Source organism: Homo sapiens, chromosome X (genome assembly GCF_000001405.40).
Source record: "Homo sapiens chromosome X, GRCh38.p14 Primary Assembly".
NCBI classification, from domain to species: Eukaryota; Metazoa; Chordata; class Mammalia; order Primates; family Hominidae; genus Homo; species Homo sapiens.
Window position 1 is genome coordinate 303,370 of NC_000023.11, and position 26,848 is coordinate 330,217.

At 57.9% G+C, this 26,848-nt stretch overlaps 1 protein-coding gene and 1 long non-coding RNA gene across 7 annotated transcripts; one reads left to right on the forward strand and one right to left on the reverse strand.

Moving 5' to 3' along the window:
• GTPBP6 (GTP binding protein 6 (putative)) lies at positions 1,390 to 15,427 on the reverse strand. Of its 5 annotated transcripts, none has more exons than XM_047442545.1 (11): positions 15,070 to 15,427; positions 13,910 to 14,050; positions 13,545 to 13,682; positions 11,860 to 11,930; positions 11,521 to 11,651; positions 10,781 to 10,848; positions 9,163 to 9,555; positions 8,050 to 8,258; positions 4,363 to 4,511; positions 3,991 to 4,143; positions 1,390 to 1,828 (listed from the first exon to the last, which is right to left on the reverse strand). In XM_047442545.1, the coding sequence occupies exons 3-11, from the start codon at positions 13,612 to 13,614 to the stop codon at positions 1,705 to 1,707; spliced, it is 1,368 nt and encodes a 455-aa protein (XP_047298501.1). In that variant the 5' UTR covers positions 13,615 to 13,682; positions 13,910 to 14,050; positions 15,070 to 15,427; the 3' UTR covers positions 1,390 to 1,704. The 5 variants fall into 5 exon arrangements, with proteins under 5 accessions (XP_047298501.1, XP_047298500.1, NP_036359.3 ...); XM_047442544.1 differs by having other exon boundaries at positions 13,910 to 14,115; NM_012227.4 differs by lacking the exon at positions 13,910 to 14,050 and having other exon boundaries at positions 9,397 to 9,555.
• LINC00685 (long intergenic non-protein coding RNA 685) lies at positions 15,776 to 17,963 on the forward strand. 2 transcript variants are annotated; one of them, NR_027231.1, is given in 2 exon segments: positions 15,776 to 16,182; positions 16,839 to 17,963. It is a non-coding gene; the product is annotated as a long intergenic non-protein coding RNA 685 (long non-coding RNA).

Genomic DNA, 26,848 nt, shown 5'->3' on the forward strand with positions numbered 1-26,848 from the left:
TTTATTACCACCAATGCAGCCAAGACACCTCTGGCAGCTTTCAGGATAGCACGCCAGAAGCATCTTTAGAAAATGTTAATTCAGGAGGCCGGGTGCGGTGGCTCACGCCTGTAATCCCAGCACTTTGGGAGGCCGAGGTGGGCGGATCACAAGGTCAAGAGTTCGAGACCAGCCTGACCGACATGGTGAAAATACAAAAAATTACTAAATATACAAAAATAATATATAAATTATAAATATATAAGAATACTAAAAATATAAAAAATTAGCCAGGCATGGTGGTGGGGGCCTGTAGTCCCAGCTACTCAAGAGGCTGAGGCAGGAGAATGGTGTGAACCCGGGAGGCGGAGCTTGCAGTGAGCCGAGACTGCACCACTGCACTCCAGCCTGGATGACAGAGTGACACTCATTCCGTCTAAAAAAAAAAAAAAAAGTTAATTCAGGCCGGGCACAGTGGCTCCGCCTGTAATCCCAGCACTTTGGGAGGCCGAGTTGGGTGGATCACCTGAGGTCAGGAGTTTGAGACCAGCCTGACCGACATGCTGAAAACCCATCTCTACTAAAAATGCAAAAAATTAGCCGGGCGTGGTGGCGGGCGCCTGTAATCCCAGCTACTTGGGAGGTTGAGGCAGGAGAACTGTCTGAACTCAAGAGGCAGAGGTTGCAGTGAACTGAGATCGCACCACTGTACTCCAGCCTGGGTGACAGAGCGAGATTCTGTCTCAAAACATACAAGGCATTTTGTTTTCCCGTTGATGGAGACGGCTAATGTGCGTGTAACGGCTGCACAGCCTGGCCACACGCAGGTGAAATTCTCTCTCTGCATCTCTTAGTGGATGGTCTGTGACACATCACCGTCTGGTTTGTTTGTTTTGAGACGGAGTCTCGCTCTGTCTTCCAGGCTGGAGTGCAGTGGCGCGATCTTGGCTCACTGCAACCTCCGCCTCCCGGGTTCATGCCATCCTCCTGCCTCAGCCTCCCGAGTAGCTGGGACTACAGGCGCCCGCCACCACCCCCGGCTAATTTTTTGTATTTTTAGCAGAGGTGGGGTTTCACCATGTTAGCCAGGATGGTCTGGATCTCCTGACCTCGTGATCCACCCACCTCAGCCTCTCAAAGTGCTGGGATTACAGGCGTGAGCCACCGTGCCCGTCCTCACGGTCTGGTTTGAAGCTGCTTCTTTAGTAAAACTATTTGCTTTCCCTTCTACTTTTGTGGAAGGGTTCTCTGTGCTGCCGGGAAACCTGATTTTTCGTCATTTCCCCGACACCACCATGGGAAACGAGACCATCTGTGAACACAGACAGCCGGGCGGAGGGGCCGTCGGTGCCCACCAGGGCCACGGCTCACGGCAGGTGCAGGAGGAACTGGAAATGCTGCTCACGGAAGTAAAATCAAAGGTTTAATGTCCTGTTACGGAAACATTCCGAGGGAAAGCAGTTCACAGCAGGCACCGAGGGCCCACTGGAATTGTGTGGATGCTCAGGCTTGGAGTGGACGCTCGGGCGGCCCGCTTTGGGGCAGGTGCGGCCGTGTCACCGGCCTGCACGGTCATCCCAGCAAATGGCTGGGAGCGAGACGGGTGCAGAACCAGACAAGGAGGACCCTGCTGCACCTGACACCAAGCTGCCCCCAACACAGCGGTAACGCCTCAGCTCCCCAGGCAGCGATGCCCCCACCCCGCAGGCCTCTGTGGGCGTCCGTTCATCCTGGAAAGAGCTTCCGGAATTTGCCGTAGGCTGAGTTGCTGATGATGACCCTCACGTCGGCCGCCCCGTCCTCAGGGATCACGTCCACCTCCTGAACTGTGGCCTCCTTATACAGCCAGCTGGGCACAGATGCGCGTTGTATGGAGACAAGCAGAACCCGTAAGTATTTGCTTAGTTTCATGATAAATAATTACGCTAAAAAGAGCTTAGCTCAAACCATTCATCAGACCGTCCTGTTTCCTTTTGTTTTTTTTTTTTTTTGAGACGGAGTCTCACTCTGTCGCGTAGGCTGGAGTGCAGTGGCGCGATCTCAGCTCACTGCAAGCTCCACCTCCCGGGTTCAAGTGATTCTCCTGCCTCAGCCTCCCGAGTAGCTGGGACTACAGGTGCATGCCACCACACCTGGCTAATTTTTTGTGTTTTTAGTAGAGACGGGGTTTCACCGTGTTAGCCAGGATGGTCTCGATCTCCTGACTTCGTGATCCACCCGCCTCGGCCTCCCAAAGTGCTGGGATGACAGGCATGAGCCACTGCGCCCGGCTTTTTATTTTTTATTTTTTTTTTTGAGACAGAGTCTCGCTCTGTCGCCAGGCTGGGGTGCAGTGGCACGATCTTGGCTCACTGCAACCTCGGCCTCCTGGGTTCCAGCAATTCTCCGGCCTTAGCCTCCCGAGTAGCTGGGACTACAGGTGCCCGCCACTGCGCCCGGCTAATTTTTTGTATTTTTATTAGAGACGGGGTTTCACCGTGTTAGCCAGGCTGGTCTCGATCTCCTGACCTTGTGGTCCGCCCACCTCGGCCTCCCAACGTGTTGGGATTACAGGTGTGAGCCACCCCACCTGGGGTGGTAACTTTTTATTCTTTGTAGAGATGGGGTCTCACCATGTTGCCCAGCCTGGCCTCAAACTCCTCTCAGCTCAAGCAATCCTCCTGCCTCGGCCTCCCAAAGTCTTGGGGTTACAGGCCTGTGCCACGGCATCCAGCTGGAGCTTGCTTTCTTATTGGTAGGGAGACCTGTACCCCTTGACTGGCAGCACAGATTAGGCACCTGTTGTGCGCACAGTCAGAAATGTATTTTGACTGTCAAGTGCAGATTAGGCACCTGTTGTATGCAGTCAGAAATGTACATTTTGACTGTCAAGCGCAGATTAGGCACCTGTTGTATGCAGTCAGAAATGTACATTTTGACTGTCAGCACAGATTAGGCACCTGTTGTATGCACAGTCAGAAATGTACATTTTGACTGTCAGTGCAGATTAGGCACCTGTTGTATGCACAGAAATGTACATTTTGGCTGTCAAGCACAGATTAGGCACCTGTTGTATGGTCAGAAATGTACATTTTCACTGTCAGCATAATTAGGCACCTGTTGTATCCACAGTCAGAAATGTACATTGAGTGTCAGCACACATTAGGCACCTGTTGTATGCACAGTCAGAAATGTACATTTTGTCAGCACAGATTAGGCAACTGTTGTATGCAGTCAGAAATGTATTTTTACTGTCAAGCACAGATTAGGCACCTGTTGTATGCAGTCAGAAATGTACATTTTGACTGTCAGCACAGATTAGGCACCTGTTGTATGCAGTCAGAAATGTACATTTTGACTGTCAGTGCAGATTAGGCACCTGTTGTATGCACAGAAATGTACATTTTGGCTGTCAAGCACAGATTAGGCACCTGTTGTATGGTCAGAAATGTACATTTTCACTGTCAGCATAATTAGGCACCTGTTGTATCCACAGTCAGAAATGTATATTTTGAGTGTCAGCACAGATTAGGCACCTGTTGTATGCAGTCAGAAATGTACATTTTGACTGTCAGCACAGATTAGGCACCTGTTGTATGCAGTCAGAAATGTACATTTTGACTGTCAGCACAGATTAGGCACCTGTTGTATGCAGTCAGAAATGTACATTTTGACTGTCAAGCACAGATTAGGCAACTGTTGTATGCAGTCAGAAATGTATTTTTACTGTCAAGCACAGATTAGGCACCCGTTGTATGCAGTCAGAAATGTACATTTTGACTGTCAGCACAGATTAGGCACCTGTTGTATGCACAGTCACAAATGTAGATTTTGACTCTCAAGCGCAGATTAGGCACCTCTTGTATGCACAGTCACAAATGTACATTTGATGCAAACCCATTCATCTCGTCTGTACATCCTAAAGCTCTCGGGGATCTCACAGCTCCTTGTGCACCCACGAAGAGCCCGTTTCAGAGCCAGAGACAGGCATCCAAAGCACCATCCCGTCTCCTGCCCCTGCAGGCCGCTCACCTGAGCTGCGCCCCTGCGAGCCTCACACGGAGAGTGAGGATCTGTCTCCCCGTCGCCTTCAAAACCGCCGCATCGAGCTCAGCTTTCAGCTCCTGGAGCCCGTGGCCCCGCAGGGCAGACACGGGCACGACGTTCGGTTCCGTGGGGCTGTACCTGCAAGGGTGGGGATGTCACAGGCCCCGCTCAGCGTCGGGGCGGCCGGACGAAATCAGGGTCCCCAGGAGTCCACTGCCCACGGGGCACAGTCTGGGGCCACTCCCTGTGTCCTGACTGCCACCGCTGCGGTTCACACGAGGAGACGGGGCATCTCCCCACCCGGCTCCAGCGCGTGCAGGGGAAGGAGACGCTTGCGGACCCCAGGGCCGGACTCACCCGGGCACGAGGTCCACCTTGTTGTGAACCTCCACCATGGAGTCCAGGAGCGGGGCGGGCAGCTGCAGGCCACGCAGCGTGGACAGAACGCTGCATTTCTGGAGCTCCGCCTCGGGGTGGCTGACGTCCCTCACGTGCAAGATGAGATCCTGTGGGCCGGGCCGTGGGGTCAGAGCTGCGGAGCCTCTGGTCCCTGACCCCAAGCTTGCAGACAGGCCCAGGAGAGGGGCTCACACGAGCTCCCAACGACAGGCTGGGCATGGGAGGTACGCCTGTGTGCAGGCCCCTCGGACACCCCAGGACGGGGGCTCCTAGACCAACAGTGGACGCGAGCCCACCCGGCTGCACTTACCCAACCTTCCAAGCCACAGGCAGCAGCTCCGCACCCCCAGACCCACACGCAAGGGGGTGCCATATATGAGCACCCAACCACCACCCACCCACCCAGGGGGTCTTCATTCAAAGCTTTAGGGCGGCTTCATCCTCCTGTGAAATGTCTTTTAACAGCGGAATTATTTCCTCTTTAAAGGATGCTTTTTTTCTCACGTTCAAAAAAAATCTTACAGGCAGGCTCCTTACACAAAATTTGAAAAACACAGGGAAAAAAAAATAAAGCCGTGTGTAATTCTCCAACTTATACTACCGGGGTATCCACGTCTACTTTTTGTTTGTTTGGATGCACTTAATACAAATAATATTTTTCCTGTAACTGAGGCACTTTGGGAGGTGGCTTGAGCCCAGAAGTTTGAGACCAGCCTGGGCAAGAGAGTGAGGCCGTTTCTACAGAAAGTACAAAAATTAGCCATGGCCTGGTTGTGCGTGTCTGTGGTCTCAGCTACTCAGGAGGCTGAGGTGGGAGGATCACTTGAGCCCAGGAGGTCGAGGCTGCAGTGAGCCGAGATCATACCACTGCGGTTCAGTCTGGGTGACAGAGCGAGACCCTGTCTCTAAAGAAGAAAAGTAAAAACAAAAAAAATAATTTCATCCCAGGAAAGTTTTACTTTTTTTTTTTTTTTTTTTTTGAGACGAGTCTCGCTCTGTCACACAGGCTGGAGTGCAGTGGCGCGATCTCAGCTCACTGCAAGCTCCGCCTCCCGGGTTCAGCCATTCTCCTGCCTCAGCCTCTCTTGAGTAGCTGGGACTACAGGCACCCGCCACCATGCCTGGCTAATTTTTTATATTTTTAGTAGAGACGGGATTTCGCCGTGGTCTCGATCTCCTGACCTGAAGTGATCCACCCGCCTCAACCTCCCAAAGTGCTGGGATTGCAGGCGTGAGCCACCACACCCGGTCCATAATTTATTGTCGGGAGGAGTCGAAAGCGGAGTCCAGGCTCCGGGCGGGGTTCAGTCCCATCTCCTCAAGGAGGTGGCAGCCGCGTCCGTTCTTTGGGACATTTGCTGCTTCTCCCTCAGGGCAAAAAACAAAGCCGTAGCCTGAATGTGACAATCTCACACCTTGTTTTCCTGCCTTGTTGCTTGACAATATTTCCCCGTGCTCTTCATGCACTTGGAAAGTCTACGGTACGGATGGAGTGTGCAGCTCACTCAGCACCCTACGGCCGGGGGCAGTTCCGGAGCCAAACAGCACCCCGCCCCCAAATCCACATCCACCAGCAGCCTCAGAATGGGACCCTACCCAGAATTAAGATCTCTGCGGATGCAGCTGGTGAAGATGAGGTCAGGGTGGAGCAGAGTGGGCCTTAAATCCAACGACCGACCGGTATGTTTACGACAGAAAGAAAGAGATGTGGGGCAGACACAGAAGAGAAGGGGACCTTGCTTGGAAATGGAGTTTTTGCAGATGTAGTTAAGATGAGGTTACCCTGGATTTATCTAGGTGGCCCCTAAATGCAATGACAGGTGTCCTAGGAGACACAGACACAGAGAAGGCCACGTGGAGATGGAGGCAGAGACTGGAGTGGTGCGGCCACAAGCCCAGGGACGCCTGGAGCCCCCAGGAGCTGGGAGAGGCAGGAAGGACCCTCACCTAGAGCCTCCAGAAGGAACTGGATCCAACTGAAGTGAACTGAACTGTGGCCCCCCACAAAAGACCTGTCCATGTATTGATCATCTGGAACCTGTGAATGGGACATTATTTGGAAACAGGGTCTCTGCAGATGTGATTAAGTGGAAGATCTGAAATGAGATCATCCTGGATTAGGGTGGACCCTAAATCTAATGACTACTGTCCTTCTAAGAGACAGAAGAGGAGACACAGACACAGAGAAGAAGGCCACAGACAGAGGCAGAGACTGGAGTGATGCGGCCACAAGCCCAGGGACGCCTGGAGCCCCCAGGAGCTGGGAGAGGCAGGAAGGACCCTCCCCTAGAGCCTCCAGAAGGAACTGGATCCAACTGAAGTGAACTGAACTGTGGCCCCCCACAAAAGACCTGTCCATGTATTGATCATCTGGAACCTGTGAATGGGACATTATTTGGAAACAGGGTCTCTGCAGATGTGATTAAGTGGAAGATCTGGAGATGAGATCATCCTGGATTAGGGTGGACCCTAAATCTAATGACAGGTGTCCTTCTAAGAGACAGAAGAGGAGACACAGACACAGAGGAGGAGGCCACAGACAGAGGCAGAGACTGGAGTGATGCGGCCACAAGCCCAGGGACGCCTGGAGCCCCCAGGAGCTGGGAGAGGCAGGAAGGACCCTCCCCTAGAGCCTCCAGAAGGAACTGGATCCAACTGAAGTGAACTGAACTGTGGCCCCCCACAAAAGACCTGTCCATGTATTGATCATCTGGAACCTGTGAATGGGACATTATTTGGAAACAGGGTCTCTGCAGATGTGATTAAGTGGAAGATCTGAAATGAGATCATCCTGGATTAGGGTGGACCCTAAATCTAATGACTACTGTCCTTCTAAGAGACAGAAGAGGAGACACAGACACAGAGGAGAAGGCCACAGACAGAGGCAGAGACTGGAGTGATGCGGCCTCAAGCCCAGGGACGCCTGGAGCCCCCAGGAGCTGGGAGAGGCAGGAAGGACCCTCCCCTAGAGTCTGTGGTCAGCTCCCGCTTTCTGGAACTGTGGTAGAGCTGGTTCCTGTGGTTTCTGGCCCCCATTTGTGGCCCCTTTTGCAGTGACAGCCTCAGGACCCCACAGGTGTTTCCAGGGTCTCGGTGTTCATCGATCCTCAGGCATCACCGTGCTGTGTCCGCCACTGCCCGCACGTCTGTGACACGAACGGTCACTCTGTCTGTCAGGGGTCTGTGACGTGGAGCAGGTGCACCCGGGAACACGCTTATGTGTTCAGGCACATAAGCCGGGAGAGGACTGACGGCCGACTTCCTATTTCTACACGGGCTCACGGCGGCAAGAACATGGCCCTGAGTGTCGGTGAGGCTGGGGCAACCGCTCAGCCTCTCGCCCGGGGACGTGGGAGGCTTGGGGGACACTAAGTCTGAGCCCCAGGAGGCAGTTGTTGTTCCGGCCCCGAGTTGGGTGGGTGTCTGAGGGCCCGGCCCCTGGCTTTGTGTGTGTCTGAGTGCCTGGTCCCCGTGCCCAGTGGGTGTCCGAGGGCCTGGCCCCTGGGCTGAGTGGGTGTCCGAGGGCCCGGCCCCTGGGCTGAGTGGGTGTCCGAGGGCCCGACCCCTGGCTGTGTGTGTCTGAGTGCCCAGCCCCCGTGCCGAATGGGTGTCCGAGCACCCGATCCCCGGCCGTCCCACGCTCACCGAGTGGGCCACGTCTTCCAGGGTGGCGGAGAAGGACTCGATGAGGCCGTGCGGCAGCTGGGAGAGGAAGCCGATGGTGTCCACGTACAGGACGGTCATGCGTGAGGGCAGCGTGCCCGCGTGGGCCGTGACGTCCAGCGTGGCAAACAGCTGGTCCCGTGGCTGGATGGCGGCATCGCCCGTCAGTGCCTTGATCAGCGTGGTCTTTCCTAGGAGGGCGTGGAGGTCAGGGCGCTGCAGAGATCCCTGCGTCCCAACTCCTAGCGCCGCAGCCAGGCCCTCCAAATGGAGACCACGGCACCCTCTGGGGGGCCGCACCCCGGGCTACACGGTCCCTGAGCTCCTCGGGCACCCCGGGCCAGACCCGACGCGTGGGACAAAGCCACCGTCGCTGTTCTCGGGCCGATGGAGCGGGGCCGCCGTGCGGACACGGGGGAGATGGTGGTGTGGACGGGTGTGCGTGTGAAGGCGTGGATGGGAGTGAGGTCGTCTGTGTAGATTTGGCAATGGCGTAGATGGTGGGATGGTGTAGGTGGGGTGGTGGTGCTGGTGTGGATGGGAGGATGGTGTAGACACAGGGGAGGTGATGGTGTAGATGGGTGGATATAGATACGGCAGTGGTGCCGGTGTTGACAGAAGGATGGTGTAGACAGAGGAGAGGCGATGGTGTAGACAGATGGGTGGATTGTATAGACGGGTGGTGGTATAGATGGGGCAGTGGTGCCAGTGTAGACAGGAGGACGGTGCAGACGAAGGGGACATTGTGGTGTACACGGGTGGATTATGTAGACGGGGTGGTGGTATAGCTGGGGCAGTGGTGCCAGTGTAGACAGGAGGACGGTGCAGACAAAGGGAACATTGTGGTGTACACGGGTGGATTATGTAGACGGGGTGGTGGTATAGATGGGGTAGTGGTGCTGGTGTAGACAGGAGGATGGTATAGACAGAGGAGAGGTGATGGTGTAGATGGGTGGATTGTGTAGACAGGGTGGTGGTATAGATAGGGCAGTGGGGATGGTCTAGACAGGAGGATGGTGTAGATGGAGGGGAGATTGTGGTATAGACAGGGTGGTAAAGCTCTGGATGGGAGGATGGGGTAGATGACATCCTCACCTTGGCTGCTGTACCCCACACAGAGACCACAGGAAACCCGTCTCCTGGGTGAGCTCTCACAGCAGCTGGTGTACCCCACACGGCGACCATGGGAACCCCCTCTCCTGGGCACGTGCTCACCGCAGCTGTCGTACGGCACCACTGAGACGACAGGGACCCCCTGCCCTCCCCCGGGCGAGTCCTCACCGGTGACACGGAGACCGCGGAAGGCCCCTCCCCTGGGCGCGTGCTCACCGCAGTTGGTGTACCCCACCACGGAGATCACGGGGAACTCCCGCCTCGTCCGCTGCCGGCGGAGCAGGTGCCTCTTCTTGCGAAGCCTGTCCAAGGCCTTCCTGATCTTGGCCTCCTTCTCTCTCAGGAGACGCTGCTGCAGCTGCATGAAGGATTCTCCTAAAAGACACCCGAGATGGTGAGGCGGTGAGCCACGCCGGGAAAGGCACAAGTGCGGGCGGTGCCGCGGAGGGTCTGCGGGGGCCCGGGGCCTGCTCCCGCTCCAGCATCTGGGGGCCCGGCTGCTTTCCCCAGCAGCGGCCCCGACACGTCCTGTTCCATGAGAAAGGGCTCTGCTCGGCGGAACGGGATCTCGCCTCCGGGTGTCCACCCTGTGAGGTCAACGAGGGCTTCCCGTGACTCGGGGAGAAAGTAAAGGCCAGATCACTACGGAGGCCTCCGAGCGGGACACGGCCCAGGACGTCATCGTGAGCGGGCTCAGTGGGGCCCCTTTCACATCCGAAGTCCCAGAACCTGGGAATGGGACCTGATTTGGAAATATGGTCTTTGTAGGGTCTCAAAATATCACCCTAGGTTAGGGTGGGCCCTAAGGCAACGACCTGTGTCCTTCTAAGAAGCAGAGACCGGAGTGACGAGGCCACAAGCCTGGGACGCCTGGAGCCCCCAGGAGCTGGGAGAGGCAGGAAGGACCCTGCCCTAGAGCCTCCAGAGGGAAGTGGATACAAGTGTAGCGGATTGAACTGTGGTCCTCCTAAAAGATCTGTCCACATCCTAATTCCCAGAACTGGTCAATGGGACCTTATTTGAAAATAAGGTGTTTGTCATAACTGAAGTATCTAGAGATGCGACGATTCTGGATTAGGGCGGGCCATAAATGCAATGACATGTGTCCTTGTAAGAGACAGAAGAGGAGACACAGACACAGAGGAGGAGGCCACGTGGAGACGGAGGCAGAGACTGGAGTGACGCGGCCACAAACCCAGGGATGCCTGGAGCCCCCAGGAGCTGGGAGAGGCAGAAGGAGCCCCTGGAGGGAGCGCAGCCCTGTCCTCACCTTGATCTCAGAGTTTTGGTGTCCAGGAGGGGAGAGCATAGATCTCTGCTGTTTAAATCCCCAGTTTGTGGCTACTGATTTAGGCAAAACCTCCAAAAACCACCAGCATCTCCTATCTCCTCAAATGCTACCAGACGGAGCCCCCAGCCAGCCCCCACCCTGTTGGAATCTTCCAGGGCTGAGGGTCTCCTATGTCCTCAAATGCTACCAGGAGACGGAGACCCCAGCTGGACCCCACCCTGTTGGAATCTTCCAGGGCTGAGAAGGGTGGCTGCCGCTGACAACCGCATTCCGAGGACCCTCTGGGACGCCGCGCCCGGCCCGAGTTACCTGACCCCATGATGTAGCGCGAGCCGACTCCTCGGTACAGGTGGGCGACGTCCCTTTTCAAGTTCGACCTGGTGTGGGAACGGGAGTGGCTCGGTCTCTGCGGACGCTGTCTCCCTCCCGGCAGAGGTCGAGGTGAAGGTGAAGGGGGCACTGAGCTGGGCCTCTGGGCCGAAGGGAGGAGCCGCTGTTGCGGCCCCGCTCCGCGTGTAGCTCACACACTGTGAGTGACGCGTGTCCCGGGCCGAGGGGACCTGCCTAGTGGGGAGCCGGGGGCAGGCAGTGGGGGCAACGGGCCCCGGAGAGAGAGCCCACACGGTGCTTTTCTTCTTTTTTTTTTTTTTTAGACGGAGTCTCGCTCTGTCACCCAGGCTGGAGTGCAGTGGCGTGATCTCGGCTCACTGCAAGCTCCACCTCTGGGGTTCACGCCATTCTCCTGCCTCAGCCTCCTGAGTAGCTGGGATTTCAGGCGCCCGCCACCACGCCCGGCTAATTTTTTTCTTGTATTTTTAGTACAGACGGGGTTTCACCGTGTTGGCCAGGATGGTCTCGATCTCGTGACCTCGTGATCCGCCCACCTCGGCCTCCCAAAGTGCTGGGATGACAGGCGTGAGCCACCGCGCCCGGCCCCCATGGTGCTTTTCTTCCTCACGCACCCCCAGAACGCCCTACAGGTGACTACAGAACGGAGGGGTTCCGGGAGTGGACGTGACGCTCGGCGCGGCCCAGGGGCCCCACGATACCTGTGCAGCGGCATCTCCGCCAGGGCCACCTGAAGCCGGGCCTCCTTCGTGCGGGCGTTACAGCGGAAGATGTGCAGGACGACCGTGAAGCGGTCAAACACCTCCACGCCCCAGGCGGCTTCCAGTTCTTTCTGCAAAAGGAGAGAGCAACTGAGAAGCCACGGGGGAAGGCCGGGCCCTGGTGGCCAATGTGAGAGGAAGGAGGACGTCTCTAATGCCTTAACCCCACCGTGTCCCCATCTGTCCCCATCTGTCCCCCGCCTGGCCGGACGCCGTGGCGTCCCCTCCTTCATCGCGTGGAGTGCGGGGACAAACACAGCAAGCCACATCCTGTGGTACCTTGGTCGGGGCAGCCATCCTCTCCACGTTCAGGAAGACGCACGTGATGTCTGGAGACCCTCGGATCTTTTCTAACAGAAAGAGGGGGTCCCGTCAGAGGCTGGCCGTCCACACCCGTGGACTGTGGGATGAGCCCACCATACCCTTTGTGGGATGCACCGCGGAGAGCTCACTTCACAGGCATCCCCGACTTCCTGAGCACGAGACCCGGGATCCAGGAAGTCAGCGTGGGAGGGGGTGTGTCTCTAGGAGTGTGTGTCTCAAAGACATAGACATGCATACGGTGAACACATCCCGGCAGGGACACAAACACATACACACGCAGACACACACACACACACACACACACACACACACAGTAAATACATCCCGACAGGGACAGACACAGACACACAGACAGACACACAGAGACACACACAAACACAGTAAACACATCCCGGCAGGGACACAAACACATACACACACACACACACACACAGTAAATACATCCCGACAGGGACAGACACACACACAGACACATACACAGAGACACACACAAACACAGTAAACACATCCCAGCAGGGACACAAACACATACACACGCAGACACACACACACACACACAGTAAACACATCCCGGCAGGGACACAAACACATACACATGCAGACACACACACACACACACAGTAAATACATCCCGACAGGGACAGACACACACACAGACACATACACAGAGACACACACAAACACAGTAAACACATCCCGGCAGGGACACAAACACATACACACGCAGACACACACACACACACACAGTAAATACATCCCGACAGGGACAGACACACACACAGACACATACACAGAGACACACACAAACACAGTAAACACATCCCGGCAGGGACACAAACACATACACACGCAGACACACACACACACACACACAGTAAATACATCCCGACAGGGACAGACACACACACAGACACATACACAGAGACACACACAAACACAGTAAACACATCCCAGCAGGGACACAAACACATACACACGCAGACACACACACAGACACACACACAGTAAATACATCCCGACAGGGACAGACACACACACACATGCACCGTGGACACATCCCATTGGGGACACACACACACACACACACACACAGGGTGAACACATCCCAGCAGGGGTGAGATGCATCTGAGTCAGGCAGGAAAGCTGACCCCCACCTGGGCAGGTGACCCAGGGCAGCCGACCCCCACCTGGGCAAGTGAGTAGCGTCTTCCCAACTCTACTGGAAGCGGGATGGTCAGAAACCTGGGAAGCGCAAGGATCGCATGCTGGACCCCACCCTAAGAGACTGCTGGTGGGGTGGGGGTCACCCAGGAGGAGGATTTGGCTGGGGCCTGCAGGGGCAGGTGGGGTTACAGCCGGTCCACCGCCTACCCTGTTTGTTGGACTCTATAAACTGCCCCGACCTAATCTTTACCAGTTTAAGTCTCTCCAGGGCCCGGTGTGAATCTCGACACAGATAAAGCCTCACCGTCCTCCGACTCCTACTGGCGTGTGCTCCCAGCTCACCTGGGCAATCCGAGAGGCCGCTTCCCCTCTGGCCCCGCAAGACCCCCGTACTTCAGCATGTCTCGGTTGGATGTTTTCGGTAGCGGCGGACAGGAAAGGAGGTTTGGGGAAGGAGCAGGTCTGGACGGACCCACCTGTCAGGTGCTCAAAGTTCCCTTTGCCAAAGATGAGCTTCCTGTCCGGCGTTTTGGTGGACACGACCATTGTCTGCACCACGGACCAGCCGTCCAGCGTGTGCACCAGCGCTGTGGCCTCCGCCACCTGCCACTCGGCTGCGGGGACACAAGGGCCACCGTGAGAGACGCTTCTGCCCGGGGCCCCCGTCCACACCTGCCCGGGGAGGCCTCCTCCTGCCCTTGAGACAATCTCCCCGGAGAAGGCACCTTGAGCCGCCGTTTGTCCCCCGATATGACTTCGTCCCCCCAGGGCCTCTAAGTAGGAATCTGACGGGAGAAGGACACCGGAGCCACAGCGGGACACGAGGGCGACCCTGCCTTACATGGAATTTGGGCTCCAGGCGGGCGCAGCAGGGAACCCGGGAGCTGCGGGTGCTCAGGGGATTACTGAGGAACCACCGGCAGGTTTGGGGAGTAGAGAGGCAAGAGGTCTGCGCGCTGTTCTGAGCAGTTCGGGGCTTCATCTGTTCCAGGAATTAGCCATTTTGGAAAACACCCGTAAAGAAAAACCACTCATCGACTACAGGAGCTTCCAAGGGAAAAATCAACCTTTATGAGACTCTGACACGTGCAGCGACTTATTCATTTGCATTTCCTCCTGGGGGGTGGGGGGTGGGACTAGACACAGATTGGTCCGCTGGACGCCCTCCCTTCCCTGACCTCAAACACACCGTGCCTACCTCTAACCCAGAGCAAGAGAAACGTAGGTCCCATCGGCGAGAACCGCCCCGGCCCACCCAACCCCACCCCACCCCACCCCACCCCACCCCACCCCACGGACCCCACGGGCCCCACCCCATCCCACGGACTCCACCCCATAAGCTCCGCCCCCGCACTTTTACCCCATAGGCCCCTCCCCCGAAGCCCCGCCCACGCACCTCCACCAATGATATCCTCCCCTCTTCCCCATAAGCCCCGCCCTTTCACCCATGGGCTCCTCCCCCGAACCCCACCCATGCACCTCCACCTATGAGATCCTCCCTTCAGAGCCCCGCCCCCGCATCACCATCCATAAGCTCTTCCCCTCAGAGCCCCGCCCCTCAGCGCCACGCCCTGGCATCTCCAACCATCAGACCCTCTCCTTAGAGCCTGGCCCCCTGAAGCCCCGCCCCTACGTCGCCACCTGAGCTCTTCCCCTCAAAGCCCCGCCCTGGGTCTCCACCTATGAGATTCTCAGGTCAGAGCCCCGTCCCTGAATCTCTACCTATGAGCCTCCCCAGAGCCCCGCCCTTGCATCGCCAGCTATGATTCTCCCGAGTCCCGCCCCTGAATCTCCACCTATGAAATCCTTCCTGCAGAGCCCCGCCCTTGCGCCTCCACCTATGAGATTCTCCCCACAGAACCCCGCCCCTGAATCTCCACCTATGAGATCGTCCCTTCAGAGCCCCGCCCCTGAATCTCCACCTATGAGCCCCCTCCCCTCAGAGCCCCGCCCCCAGGTCTCCAGCTCCTGTTTCTCCCCCGAAAGCCCTGCCGCGGTCACCTCGAGTCATCTGCGACTTCCCCGGGCCCCACTTGACGTCAGGGTGAACCAGACACACGCGCTGGGTCCCCGCCGGCAGCAGAGGCTCTCCCCGCAGCAGCTCCTCCTCGGCGTTCTCGTCCGCATCTTCCGGCTCCTCCTCGTCGTCTCCCGTGCGGCTTCGGCCGCCGTCCGCCCGCAGGCCCCGCCCTCCGCCCCACGGCCCCTCCAGATTCCCGGGGCTCCTGCGGCCGACAGCGGCTAGCGCGCGCGCGGGGCAGGACGGCGCGGCTGCCCGCGGAGCCGAGCGGCCGCGGCCCACGCGGGAGAGCCGCAGCCCCGGGCGTACGGCGGCCCGCAGGGCCCACATGGCGCGTCTGGAGGCTGAACGTTGGGGCGGGGGCTGCCCACAGGCCGCTCCTCATCACGTGCTCGTGATTGGCGTGCGGCCGGGGCTGGCTCACCAGCGCCTCTCCCCGGCACAGGCCGTGCTCCTCATTGGTCATCCGGCGTCACGTGCTAGTGATTGGCGTGCAGCTGGGGCGTGCTCACCAGCGCCTCTCCGCAGCATAGGGCGTGATCCTCATTGGTCATCCCTTGTCACGTGCTGGTGATTGGCGTGCGGCCGGGGCGGGCTCCCTAGCGCCGCGCCCCGGCAGGGCGTGCTCCTCATTGGTCGCCCCGCATCAGGTGCTGGTGATTGGCACGCGCTGCCGGCGGGGGAGGCGGGACCGGGCCGCTTCTTGTTCGGCGTGGGCGGCTCCTGGCAGACCCATCCCGCGGTGCAGCCGCCGGCCCGGTAGGCGCCAGGACCCCGAGCCTCGGCGGCGGCGGCGGCGGCGGCAGCGCTGCCTTCACTCACCTCGTCCTCGCTCCCGTCCTACCCCGTTCCGCGCTGGGTGGAGTCCAAGTCTGATTGCGAGAGTCCGGAACGCCGCCTCGGGGGCTTGACTCCAGCCCCGGGGATCGAGAACGGCGCCCAGGGGTCCCTACGTCTGCCTTGGGGGCTCGAGTCCCGCCCTGGGCGTCCGTGACGTCGCCCAGGGGTCTCCACGTCTGCCCTGGAACCTGGAGAGCCGCCGTGGGGGCCCCGGAAGCTGCCCCGGAGTCCCCACGTCTGCCCTGGGGGCTCGAGTCCAGCTCTCAGGGTCCCGGACGCCACCCAGGGGGTCCCCATGTCTGCTTTGGGGGCTCGAGTCCAGCCATGGGGGTCCTGGACGCCGCCTCGGCGTCCCCGCGTCTGCCTTGGGGGCCCGAGTCCCGCCCTGGGGGTCCTGGACGCCGCCTCGGCATCCCCGCGTCTGCCTTGGGGGCTCGAGTCCCGCCCTGGGGGTCCCCGATGCCGCCCGGGGGTCCTCACGTCTACCTTGGAGACTGGAGTTCCCCCGTGGGAGTCTCGGACGCCACCCCGGAGTCACCGTGTCTAGCCTTGGGGGCTTGAGTCCAGCCCTGGGGGTCCTGGACGTCGCCGAGGAGCCCCCACGTCTGCCTTTGGGGCTTGAGACCTGCTCTGGGGGTCCCGGTCGCCGCCCAGGTGGGTCCCCACGTCTAGCCTTGGGGGCTTGAGTCCAGCCCTGGGGGGCCCGGATGCCGCCCGGGGGTTCTCCTCGTCTGCCTTGGGGGTTGGGTCCAGCCCCAGGCGTCCTGACCACCGCCCAGGGGCCCCCACGTCTGCCTGGGGGCCTCAAATTCAGTCCTGGGGGTCCCGGACGCCTCCCAGGGGTCTTCATGTCTGCCGTGGGCCTCGAGTCCAGCCGTGAGGGTCCCGAATGCTGCCTTGGAGGGTGGAGTCCAGCTCTGAGGGTCCTGAAGTCAGCTTTGGGGGTTCGAACCCATCCATCCCAGGGGTCCCTGAGTCTACATTAGGGGCTGGAGTCCAGCCTTGAGGGTCTCCACTGCTGCCTTGGGGGCCTGGATGGGATCCAGCGGGTCTGAGTCCAGCCTCGGGAGCCCCTGCGGTGGAGCTCTGAGTGGGGCAGGGGCCTGGGAGATGCCAGGAGGATGAGAGCGGCGCCCCCCTGGTCCAGGGGACAGTAAGAGGCAGCCGGTCTCAGAGAAGCTACCCCAAAACTGTTACCCGTGGTGTGCAGAGCGTCCTGCAACCCCAGCCCTCACCAGGATTTCTTGCGTTTTTCAGGAAATCGGTTGTGATTGGCATGTTCCTTAAGCGTCTGCAGGAAGCCGAGGCCTTTTTGGTATTTCAGGAGGGGTTGCTAACCCCCCTCCTTGTAGGATCGGGGTATCCCAGCTGCTAATTCCCCTCCTAACAGCCCTGCAGCGCCTGGATTGGAGGTGTGACAGGTGGCATTTTTGGCCCGAAGTCCCTAGGCAGGACGGGTGGCTGTAGCCTGCGCGTTTGTGTAAATTAACCTCCCTTTTTAGTTCTGTGAAGGGAGAACGTGATTAGTTTAAAATCACCTGCGTGAAAGAGGCTCTTGATTAGTTTAAAATCACCCACGTGAAAGGGGCTCTTGATTAGCTTAAAATCACCTGGGTGTTTCGTTTTATCTCAGTTGGCCTCTGAATGTTTATCCTACAGCTTCCTGCAAGCTCCAGTCTACCTTCTAAGGGAATAACGGGGCTCGTCTTTCTACGTTACTTTATGTGGGAGTAGTTGTAAAACAGAATGAGGGAGACCGCGGGGATTGTGCGGAAATGTAGCCACCGTTTACATGTCGGGAGGCTGAGGTGGGAGGATCGCTTGAGCCCAGGAGTTTGACACCAGCCTGGGCAACATGGTAAGACCCCTTCTCTACCCTCCCCCCCAAAAAAAAAATTTTAGTGTGGCATGGTGGTGGGTGCCTGTGGTCCCAGCTACTCGGGACGCTGAGGTGGGAGGATTGCTTGAGCCCAGGAGTTTGACACCAGCATGGGCAATATGGTAAGACCCCATTATCTACAAAAAAAAAAAAAAAAAAAGAAAAGAAAAATTAGCCGGGCGTGGTGGTGGGTGCCTGTGGTCCCAGCTGCTCGGGACGCTGAGGTGGGAGGATTGCTTGAGCCCAGGAGTTTGACACCAGCATGGGCAATATGGTAAGACCCCATTATCTACAAAAAAAAAAAAAAAAAAGAAAAGCCGGGCGTGGTGGTGGGTGCCTGTGGTCCCAGCTGCTCGGGACGCTGAGGTGGGAGGATTGCTTGAGCCCAGGAGTTTGACACCAGCATGGGCAATATGGTAAGACCCCATTATCTACAAAAAAAAAAAAAAAAGAAAAGCCGGGCGTGGTGGTGGGTGCCTGTGGTCCCAGCTGCTCGGGACGCTGAGGTGGGAGGATTGCTTGAGCCCAGGAGTTTGACACCAGCATGGGCAATATGGTAAGACCCCATTATCTACAAAAAAAAAAAAAAAAGAAAAGCCGGGCGTGGTGGTGGGTGCCTGTGGTCCCAGCTGCTCGGGACGCTGAGGTGGGAGGATTGCTTGAGCCCAGGAGTTTGACACCAGCATGGGCAATATGGTAAGACCCTATTATCTACAAAAAAAAAAAAAAAAAAAAAGAAAGAAAAATTAGCCTGGTGTGGTGGTGGGTGCCTGTGGTCCCAGCTGCTCGGGACGCTGAGGTGGGAGGATTGCTTGAGCCCAGGAGTTTGACGCCAGCATGGGCAATATGGTAAGACCCTATTATCTACAAAAAAAAAAAAAAAAAAAAAAGAAAGAAAAATTAGCCTGGTGTGGTGGTGGGTGCCTGTGGTCCCAGCTGCTCGGGACGCTGAGGTGGGAGGATTGCTTGAGCCCAGGAGTTTGACACCAGCATGGGCAATATGGTAAGACCCCATTATCTACAAAAAAAAAAAAAAAAAAGAAAAGCCGGGCGTGGTGGTGGGTGCCTGTGGTCCCAGCTGCTCGGGACGCTGAGGTGGGAGGATTGCTTGAGCCCAGGAGTTTGACGCCAGCATGGGCAATATGGTAAGACCCTATTATCTACAAAAAAAAAAAAAAAAAAAAAAAAAGAAAGAAAAATTAGCCTGGTGTGGTGGTGGGTGCCTGTGGTCCCAGCTGCTCGGGACGCTGAGGTGGGAGGATTGCTTGAGCCCAGGAGTTTGACGCCAGCATGGGCAATATGGTAAGACCCTATTATCTACAAAAAAAAAAAAAAAGAAAGAAAGAAAGAAAAATTAGCCTGGTGTGGTGGTGGGTGCCTGTGGTCCCAGCTGCTCGGGACGCTGAGGTGGGAGGATCACCTGAGCCCAGGAGGTGGAGGCTGCAGTGAGCTTAGATTGCAGCACTGTGCTCCAGCCTGGGTGACAGAGTGAGACCCCATCTCAAACAAGAAGCACCAAAAGGTGTCTGAGATCAGGCACGGTGGCTCACGCCTGTCATTCCAGCACTTTGGGAGGCCGAGGTGGGTGGATCACCTGAGGTCAGGCATTTGAGACCAGCCTGGCCAACATGGAGAAACACTGACTCTACTAAATGTGCAAAAATTAGCCGGGCGTGGTGGCACACACCTGTAGTCCCAGCTACTCCAGAGGCTGAGGTAGGAGAATTGCTTGAACCTGGGAGGTGGAGGTTGCAGTGAGCTGAGATTGTACCACTGCACTCCAGCCTGGGAGCTGAGATTGTACCACTGCACTCCAGCCTGGGCCCTAAAGCGAGAGCTTGACGGTGGGGTGGGGGTGTGGGATGGACCTTCTGTGGTCCCAGCTACTCGGGAGGCTGAGGTGGGAGGATCGCTTGAGCCCAGGAGTTTGACACCAGCATGGGCAACATGGTAAGAACCCATATCTACAAAAAAAAAATTTAAAAATTAGCCGGGTGTGGTGTGTGGGTGCCTGTGGTCCCAGCTACACCACGAGTGGAATTGTGACGTGCACAGCCTGGGTAAATGGGGTTAGCTATATTCACCCTGAAGGGGGCACATACCCTATTATTTCTAACACCACTGAACTCAGAATCGGGACCCAGATTCGCCGGGGCAGCGCGGGACGAGGCCTCTCCCGGGCTCCGTCTTCCCTGTTAATAGACTGAGAGACGGAATGAGAGCTTCGAAGGTGCTGGGGGAGGAGCATTGGGTGTCCCCAGGTGGTGAGCTTGGGTGTGTGTGTGTAGCCGACAGTCTCCCAGGCTCAGTATTCCCTGTTAATAGACTGAGAGACGGAATGAGGGCGTCCCCAGGTGGTGAGCTCAGGGACGTGTGTGTGTGTGTGTGTGTGTGTGTGTGTGTGTGTGTGTGTGTAGCCGTCAATCTCCTGGGCTCCTGGGTTCCGTCTGCCCTGTTCATAGAGACAGAATGAGGGCGTCCCCAGGTGGTGAGCTCAGGGACGTTGTGTGTGTGTGTGTGTGTGTGTGTGTGTGTGTGTGTGTGTGTAGCCGTCAATCTCCTGGGCTCCTGGGTTCCGTCTGCCCTGTTCATAGAGACAGAATGAGGGCGTCCCCAGGTGGTGAGCTCAGGGACGTGTGTGTGTGTGTGTGTGTGTGTAACCATCAATCTCCTGGGCTCCTGGGTTCCGTCTGCCCTGTTCATAGGGATGGAATGAGGGCGTCCCCAGGTGGTGAGCTCAGGGACGTTGTGTGTGTGTGTGTGTGTGTGTGTAACCATCAATCTCCTGGGCTCCTGGGTTCCGTCTGCCCTGTTCATAGAGACGGAATGAGGGCGTCCTCAGGTGGTGAGCTCAGGGACGTGTGTGTAGCCATGATTATCCTTTAGTACCTGGTCCCCGTGCCCTCCAAGCCATCCAAGGGCTTCAGGAGGCCGCGCAGAAGGAGGGTCGGTAAGCGAGTCCACGGACCACCACGCAGGCCCTGACCCCGCCAGGGGCCCTTTGGAGGGTGAGCCCTGCGTGTTGGGGGGATGATGGCTCCGGAGGGTGAGCTCTGGGATGAGAGGGGACGTGCAGGTGGCCGCATTGCAGACACAGCTGGCTCGGGACCTGGGCGCCATCTGCCGTCGACTCAGCTCGCTCCTGAGCTGTGCCTCTTCCTTGCCTCACGTTGGAGATAAAAAGCCATAGATGGCCGGGGGCGGTGGCTCAGGCCTGTCATCCCAGCACTGTGGGATACCAGCGCAGGAGGGTTGCCTCAGCTCAGGGGTTCGAGACCAGCCTGGCCAGCATAGCGAGACCCTCTTCTCTGTAACAATTTTTTTTTCTTTTCTTTTTTTTTTTTTTGAAACAGAGTCTCGCTCTGTCACCCAGGCTGGACTGTAGTGGTATGATCTCAGCTCACGGAAACCTCTGCCTCCCGGGTTCCCGGGTTCAAGTGATTCTCCTGCCTCAGCCTCCCGAGTAGCTGGGATTACAGGCAGCTGCCACCATGCCTGGCTAAATTCTGTATTTTTAGTAGAGACGGGGTTTCTCCATGTTGGTCAGGCTGGTCTTGAACTCCCGACCTCAGGTGATCCGCCCACCTCGGCCTCCCAAAGTGCTGGGATGACAGGCGTGAGCCACCGCGCCCGGCCTCTTTCAGGTTTTTATATGTAACTTTGCCACTCAGTCGGTACTGAAGCCGTTATGGAGGCCTGCCTGGTGAGATGCGGCTGCCACAGTGTGGCTGGTATTCGAAACACACAGGAGGCCGCAGCCAGCTTAGCAGAAGCACCAGGGCTTTCGGAACTTGGTTTTGAGAGTTTCCTGTTTTCTTGACTTTCATATACCATGGATGGTAATAACTGTTGGGGGGAAAAAGCTATTAAAGATTCCTGTGGATGGTGAGATGACCTTGGTTTCAGAAACACCCAGACACAGAGAATTGTGCATTTTAGAATCCAATAAATCTACGCTGGGCACGGTGGCTCATGCCTGTCATCCCAGCACTTTGGGAGGCCGAGGTAGGTGGATCACCTGAGGTCAGGAGTTCGAGACCAACCTGGCCAACATAGTGAGAACCTGTCTCTACTAAAAATACAAAAAATTAGCGGGGCGTTGTGGCAGGTGCCTGTAATCCCAGCTGCTCTGGAGGCTGAGGTGGGAGAATTGCTTGAACCCGGGAGGCAGAGGTTGCAGTGAGCTGAGACCATGCTGCTGTACTCCAGCCTGGGTGACAGGGCGAGGCTCCATCTTAAAAAAAAAAAAATCTGATCATTTACCTGTGCACCTTCACAAGTGTTTAAAAAAAAAAAAAAACCGGGCACGGTGGCTCACGCCTGTCATCCCAGCACTTTGGGAGGCTGAGGTGGGTGGATCACGAGGTCAGGAGATCGAGACCATCCTGGCTAATTCGGTGAAACCCCGTCTCTACTAAAAATACAAAAAATTAGCTGGGTGTGGTGGAAGGTGCCTGTAGTCCCAGCTGCTCAGGAGGCTGAGGCGGGAGAATGGCGTGAACCCAGGAGGCGGAGCTTGCAGTGAGCTGAGATTGCAGCACTGCACTCCAGCCTGGGTGACAGAGCCAGACTCTGTCTCAAAAAAAAAAAAAAAAGATTGGGTTGATATTTTACCTACTATAATCTTATATGTTTGCAATTTCCTGTCATTGAGTTTTATAACTTTCTGCCCTTTGCTGACAAAAACATTTAAAATGTCTCATGGCAGCTTGTGTTCTTAAAATTCAAACTGTTTATCCATAGCCCTTGAGAGAAGGGTTTAATGTGAGTTGGTTGGGAGTGACCGTTGTCTGTTTTTTTGAGACAGAGTGTCGCTCGCTCGCCCAGGCTGGAGTGTAGTGGCGCGATCTCGGCTCACTGCAAACTCTGCCTTCCAGGTTCAAGTGATCCTTCTGCCCCAGCCCTCCAGCTAGCTTGGATTACAAACATGCACCACCACACCTGGCTAACTTTTGTATTTTTGGTAGAGACAGCGTTTTACCACGTTGGCCAGGCTGGTCTCAAAATCCTGAGCTCAAGGGATCCGCCTGCCTCAGCCTCCCAAAGTGCTGGGATTACAGGCGTGAGGCACGACGTCAGGCCAAGGGGGTGGCTGTTTTATAACAGGTTTGCAAGTTTGTTTTTGTTTTTGTTTTTCTTTTTTTTTGAGGTGGAGTTTTGCTCTTGTTCCCCAGGCTGGAGTGCAATGGCAAGATCTCGGCTCACTGCAGCCTCTGCCTCCGGGGTTCAAGGGATTCTCCTGCCTCAGCCTCTCGAGTAGCTGGGATTATAGGCACCTGCCACCATGCCTGGTTAATTTTGTATTTTTAGTAGAGATAGGGGTTTTTCCGTGCTGGCCAGGCTGGTCTCAAACTCCCGAACTCAGGTGATCCACCCGCCTCGGCCTCCCAAAGTGCTGGGATTACAGGCGTGAGCCCCCGTGCCCAGCCAGGGGGTTGCTGTTTTATAATAGGTTTGCAAGTTTGTTTTTTGTTTTGTTTTGTTTTGTTTTTTTGAGACGGAGTTTTGCTCTTGTTGCCCAGGCCGGAGTGCAATGGCACAACCTTGGCTCACTGCAACCTCCGCCTCCCGGGTTCAAGCTATTCTCCTGCCTCAGTCTCCTGAGTAGCTGGGATTACAGGCGTCCGCCACCACACCCGGCCAAGGGGGTGGCTGTTTTATAACCAGTTTGCAAGTTTGTTTTTCTCGTGTGTTAGAGGAAAATCTCTTCATGATATGGTGAAGCCGTCGTCTGTTTTGGAAGACGGTGGCCAGGAAAATGGTGGTAAGTTCTCCTGAAAGCAAACGCAGAAGGAAATAAAAATGACTGACAATTAGATCGTACAAAGATGAGCATTGTTTTTATTTATTTTTTTTGAGACGAAGTCTTGTTCTGTCACCCAGGCTGGAGTGCAATGGCACGATCTTGGCTCACTGCAACCTCCGCCTCCCAGGTTCAAGTGATTCTACTGCCTCAGCCTCCTGAGAAGCTAGAATTACAGGCATGCTCCACCACTACCCAGCTAGTATTTGTAGTTTTAGTAGAGACGGGATTTCACCATGTTGGCCAGGCTGGTCTCGAACTCCTGACCTCAGGTGATCCACCCACCTCGGCCTCCCAAAGTGCTGGGATGACAGGCGTGAGCCACCGTGCCCCGGCCCCGGATTCTATTTCTTAAACTGCAGGAAATACTAAATACTTTACATGCGTATGTTTCTCATTTCATTTTCCTACAGGAATTGGAGAGTGAGTTGCTGAGATTTCATTTTTATTCTCTTGGTCCTCATCATGCAAATGGCTAAATGGTTTTTTTTTGAAACAGGGTCTTGCTCTGTCCCCCAGGCTGGAGTGCAATGGGGCGATCTCGGCTCACTGCAACCTCTGCCTCCCGGGTTCAAGCCATTCTCCTGCCTCAGCCTCCCGAGTAGCTGGGATCACAGGTGCGCACCACCGTGTCCGTCTGATTGTTAAATTTTTCCTAGAGACGAGGTTTTGCCACGTTGCCCAGGCTGGTCTCAAACTCCTGAGCTCAGGTGATCCCCCCACCTCGGCCTCCGAAGGCGCTGGGCTTCCAGGCGTGCAGAGGGCTCTTTGTCTACATCCGTCACTGGATTTTCTACCCACGGGGACATGTGACCCCAGCGAGGTGGTCGGGGAGTCGTCGCCGGCCAGCGCTGCAGCCCAGGGATGATGACGGCTCTAGGAGTTTGGTTGTGGAGCACAGATGCCGGCGGTGTGGGCACGAGGCCCTGCACCTGCGTTTCTCCTGCACGGGCCCCGGAACCCCGGGATGGGATCTCTGTGGAGTGATCACGTCAGTGGGCTCTCGGCGAGGCTGGCGGGTGGGAGTCGGCGGCATCCGGGCTGGGCCCCCGAGGCTTGGCTCCCTCTCTGCACCCCAGGGGTCCCACAGGCTGGTGACAGCGCGACTGAAGGCCACGCTGCAGTCAGGAGGCCGCCCCACGTGTGACCCCGGGTCTTCCCACCCCGCCCTGACCCAGGGTCCTGGCCTTCCACGTGTGACCCTGGTTCCGGCACCTGTCCCCGCCCCCCCATCCTGTTCCCCTCCTCTCTCCCTGCCCCCCCTCCCCTCTCCCCGCCCCCCCTCCCCTCTCCCCGCCCCCCTCCCCTCTCCCCGTCCCCCTCCCCTCTCCCCGTCCCCCCTCCCTCTCTCCCCGTCCCCCCTCCCTCTCTCCCCGTCCCCCCTCCCCTCTCCCCGCCCCCCCGTCCCCCCTCCCCTCTCCCCGTCCCCCCTCCCCTCTCCCCGTCCCCCCTCCCCTCTCCCCGTCCCCCCTCCCTCTCTCCCCGTCCCCCCTCCCTCTCTCCCCGTCCCCCCTCCCTCTCTCCCCGTCCCCCCTCCCTCTCTCCCCGTCCCCCCTCCCCTCTCCCCGCCCCCCCGTCCCCCCTCCCCTCTCCCCGTCCCCCCTCCCCTCTCCCCGTCCCCCCTCCCCTCTCCCCGTCCCCCCTCCCTCTCTCCCCGTCCCCCCTCCCTCTCTCCCCGTCCCCCCTCCCCTCTCCCCGCCCCCCCATCCCCCCTCCCCTCTCCCCGCCCCCCCTCCCCGTCCCCCTCCCCTCTCCCCCTCCCCCCTCCCCGCCCCCCTCCCCTCTCCCCCTCCCCCCTCCCCGCCCCCCTCCCCTCTCCCTGCCCTCCCCTCTCCCTGCCCCCCCTCCCTGCCCCCCTCCCCTCTCCGCCCCACCTCTCCCCTCCCCCCTCCCCCTCCTCTCTCCCCCCTCCCCCTCCTCTCTCCCCCTCCCCCCCTCTCTCCCCCTCCCCCTCCTCCTCCTCTCTCCCCCTCCCCCCTCCCCCTCCCCTCTCCTCTCTCCCCGCCCCCCTCCCTCTCTCCCCGCCCCCCTCCCTCTCTCCCCGTCCCCCTCTCCTCTCTCCCCGTCCCCCTCTCCTCTCTCCCCGTCCCCCCTCCTCTCTCCCCGTCCCCCCTCCTCTCTCCCCGTCCCCCCTCCTCTCCCCGTCCCCCCTACTCTCCCCGTCCCCCCTCCCTCTCTCCCCGTCCCCCCTCTCCCCGTCCCCCCTCCCCCTCTCCCCGTCCCCCCCTCCCCCTCTCCCCGTCCCCCCCTCCCCCTCTCCCCGTCCCCCCCTCCCCCTCTCCCCGTCCCCCCCTCCCCCTCTCCCCGTCCCCCCCTCCCCCTCTCCCCGTCCCCCCCTCCCCCTCTCCCCGTCCCCCCCTCCCCCTCTCCCCGTCCCCCCCTCCCCCTCTCCCCGTCCCCCCCTCCCCCTCTCCCCGTCCCATCTCTCCCTTGAGTCCTTGGGTGGTCCTGGCCGCACGCCTACCTGGCGGCCCCATCCGTCCCTTCAGGGCAGGGACAGCCGATGCCCCGCACCTCCCCCATCGCTTTTCTGCCTCTGCCCCCTCCCCACATAGGCCTGGCGTCCCCTGGACTCCTGTAGGCCGAGCTGTAGTCTTAAGAAGTGTGTCCCGCAGCCCTAAAAGGTTGGGGTACCCTCCGGCCGTCATGTTCTGGGCACCCTATAGTCCTAAAGGGTCAGGGCACCCCATGGCTGTCATGTTTAGAGTACCCCGTAGTCCTAAAGGATTGGGGCACCCCACATCCCCGGTGTTCAGGGCACGTCATAGTCCTAAAAGGTCGGGGTACCCCTGGATGAGGGGCGGTCAGGAGGGTCAGGGCCTGGGTGGACATCCTGTCATCCTACCCTGTGGGCTATGCCCTGTGTCCCTGACTCTGACATTGGGTGAGGTGAGGACGGGGCAGGTTTCCATGGTACATTTATTTATTTTTTGAGACGGAGTCTCGCTCTGTCGCCCAGCCTGGAGTGCAGTGGTGTGATCTCGGCTCCCTGCAAGCTCCGCCTCCCGGGTTCATGCCATTCTCCTGCCTCAGCCTCCCGAGTAGCTGGGATCACAGGCGCCCGCCACCACGCCCGGCTAATTTTTTGTATTTTTAGTAGAGACGGGGTTTCACCATGTTGGCCAGGCTGGTCTCTAACTCCTGACCTCGTGATCCGCCTGCCTCGGCCTCCCAAAGTGCTGGGATGACAGGCGTGAGCCCCTGTGCCTGGTGGGACCCCAGTTTTCTATTAAAAAAA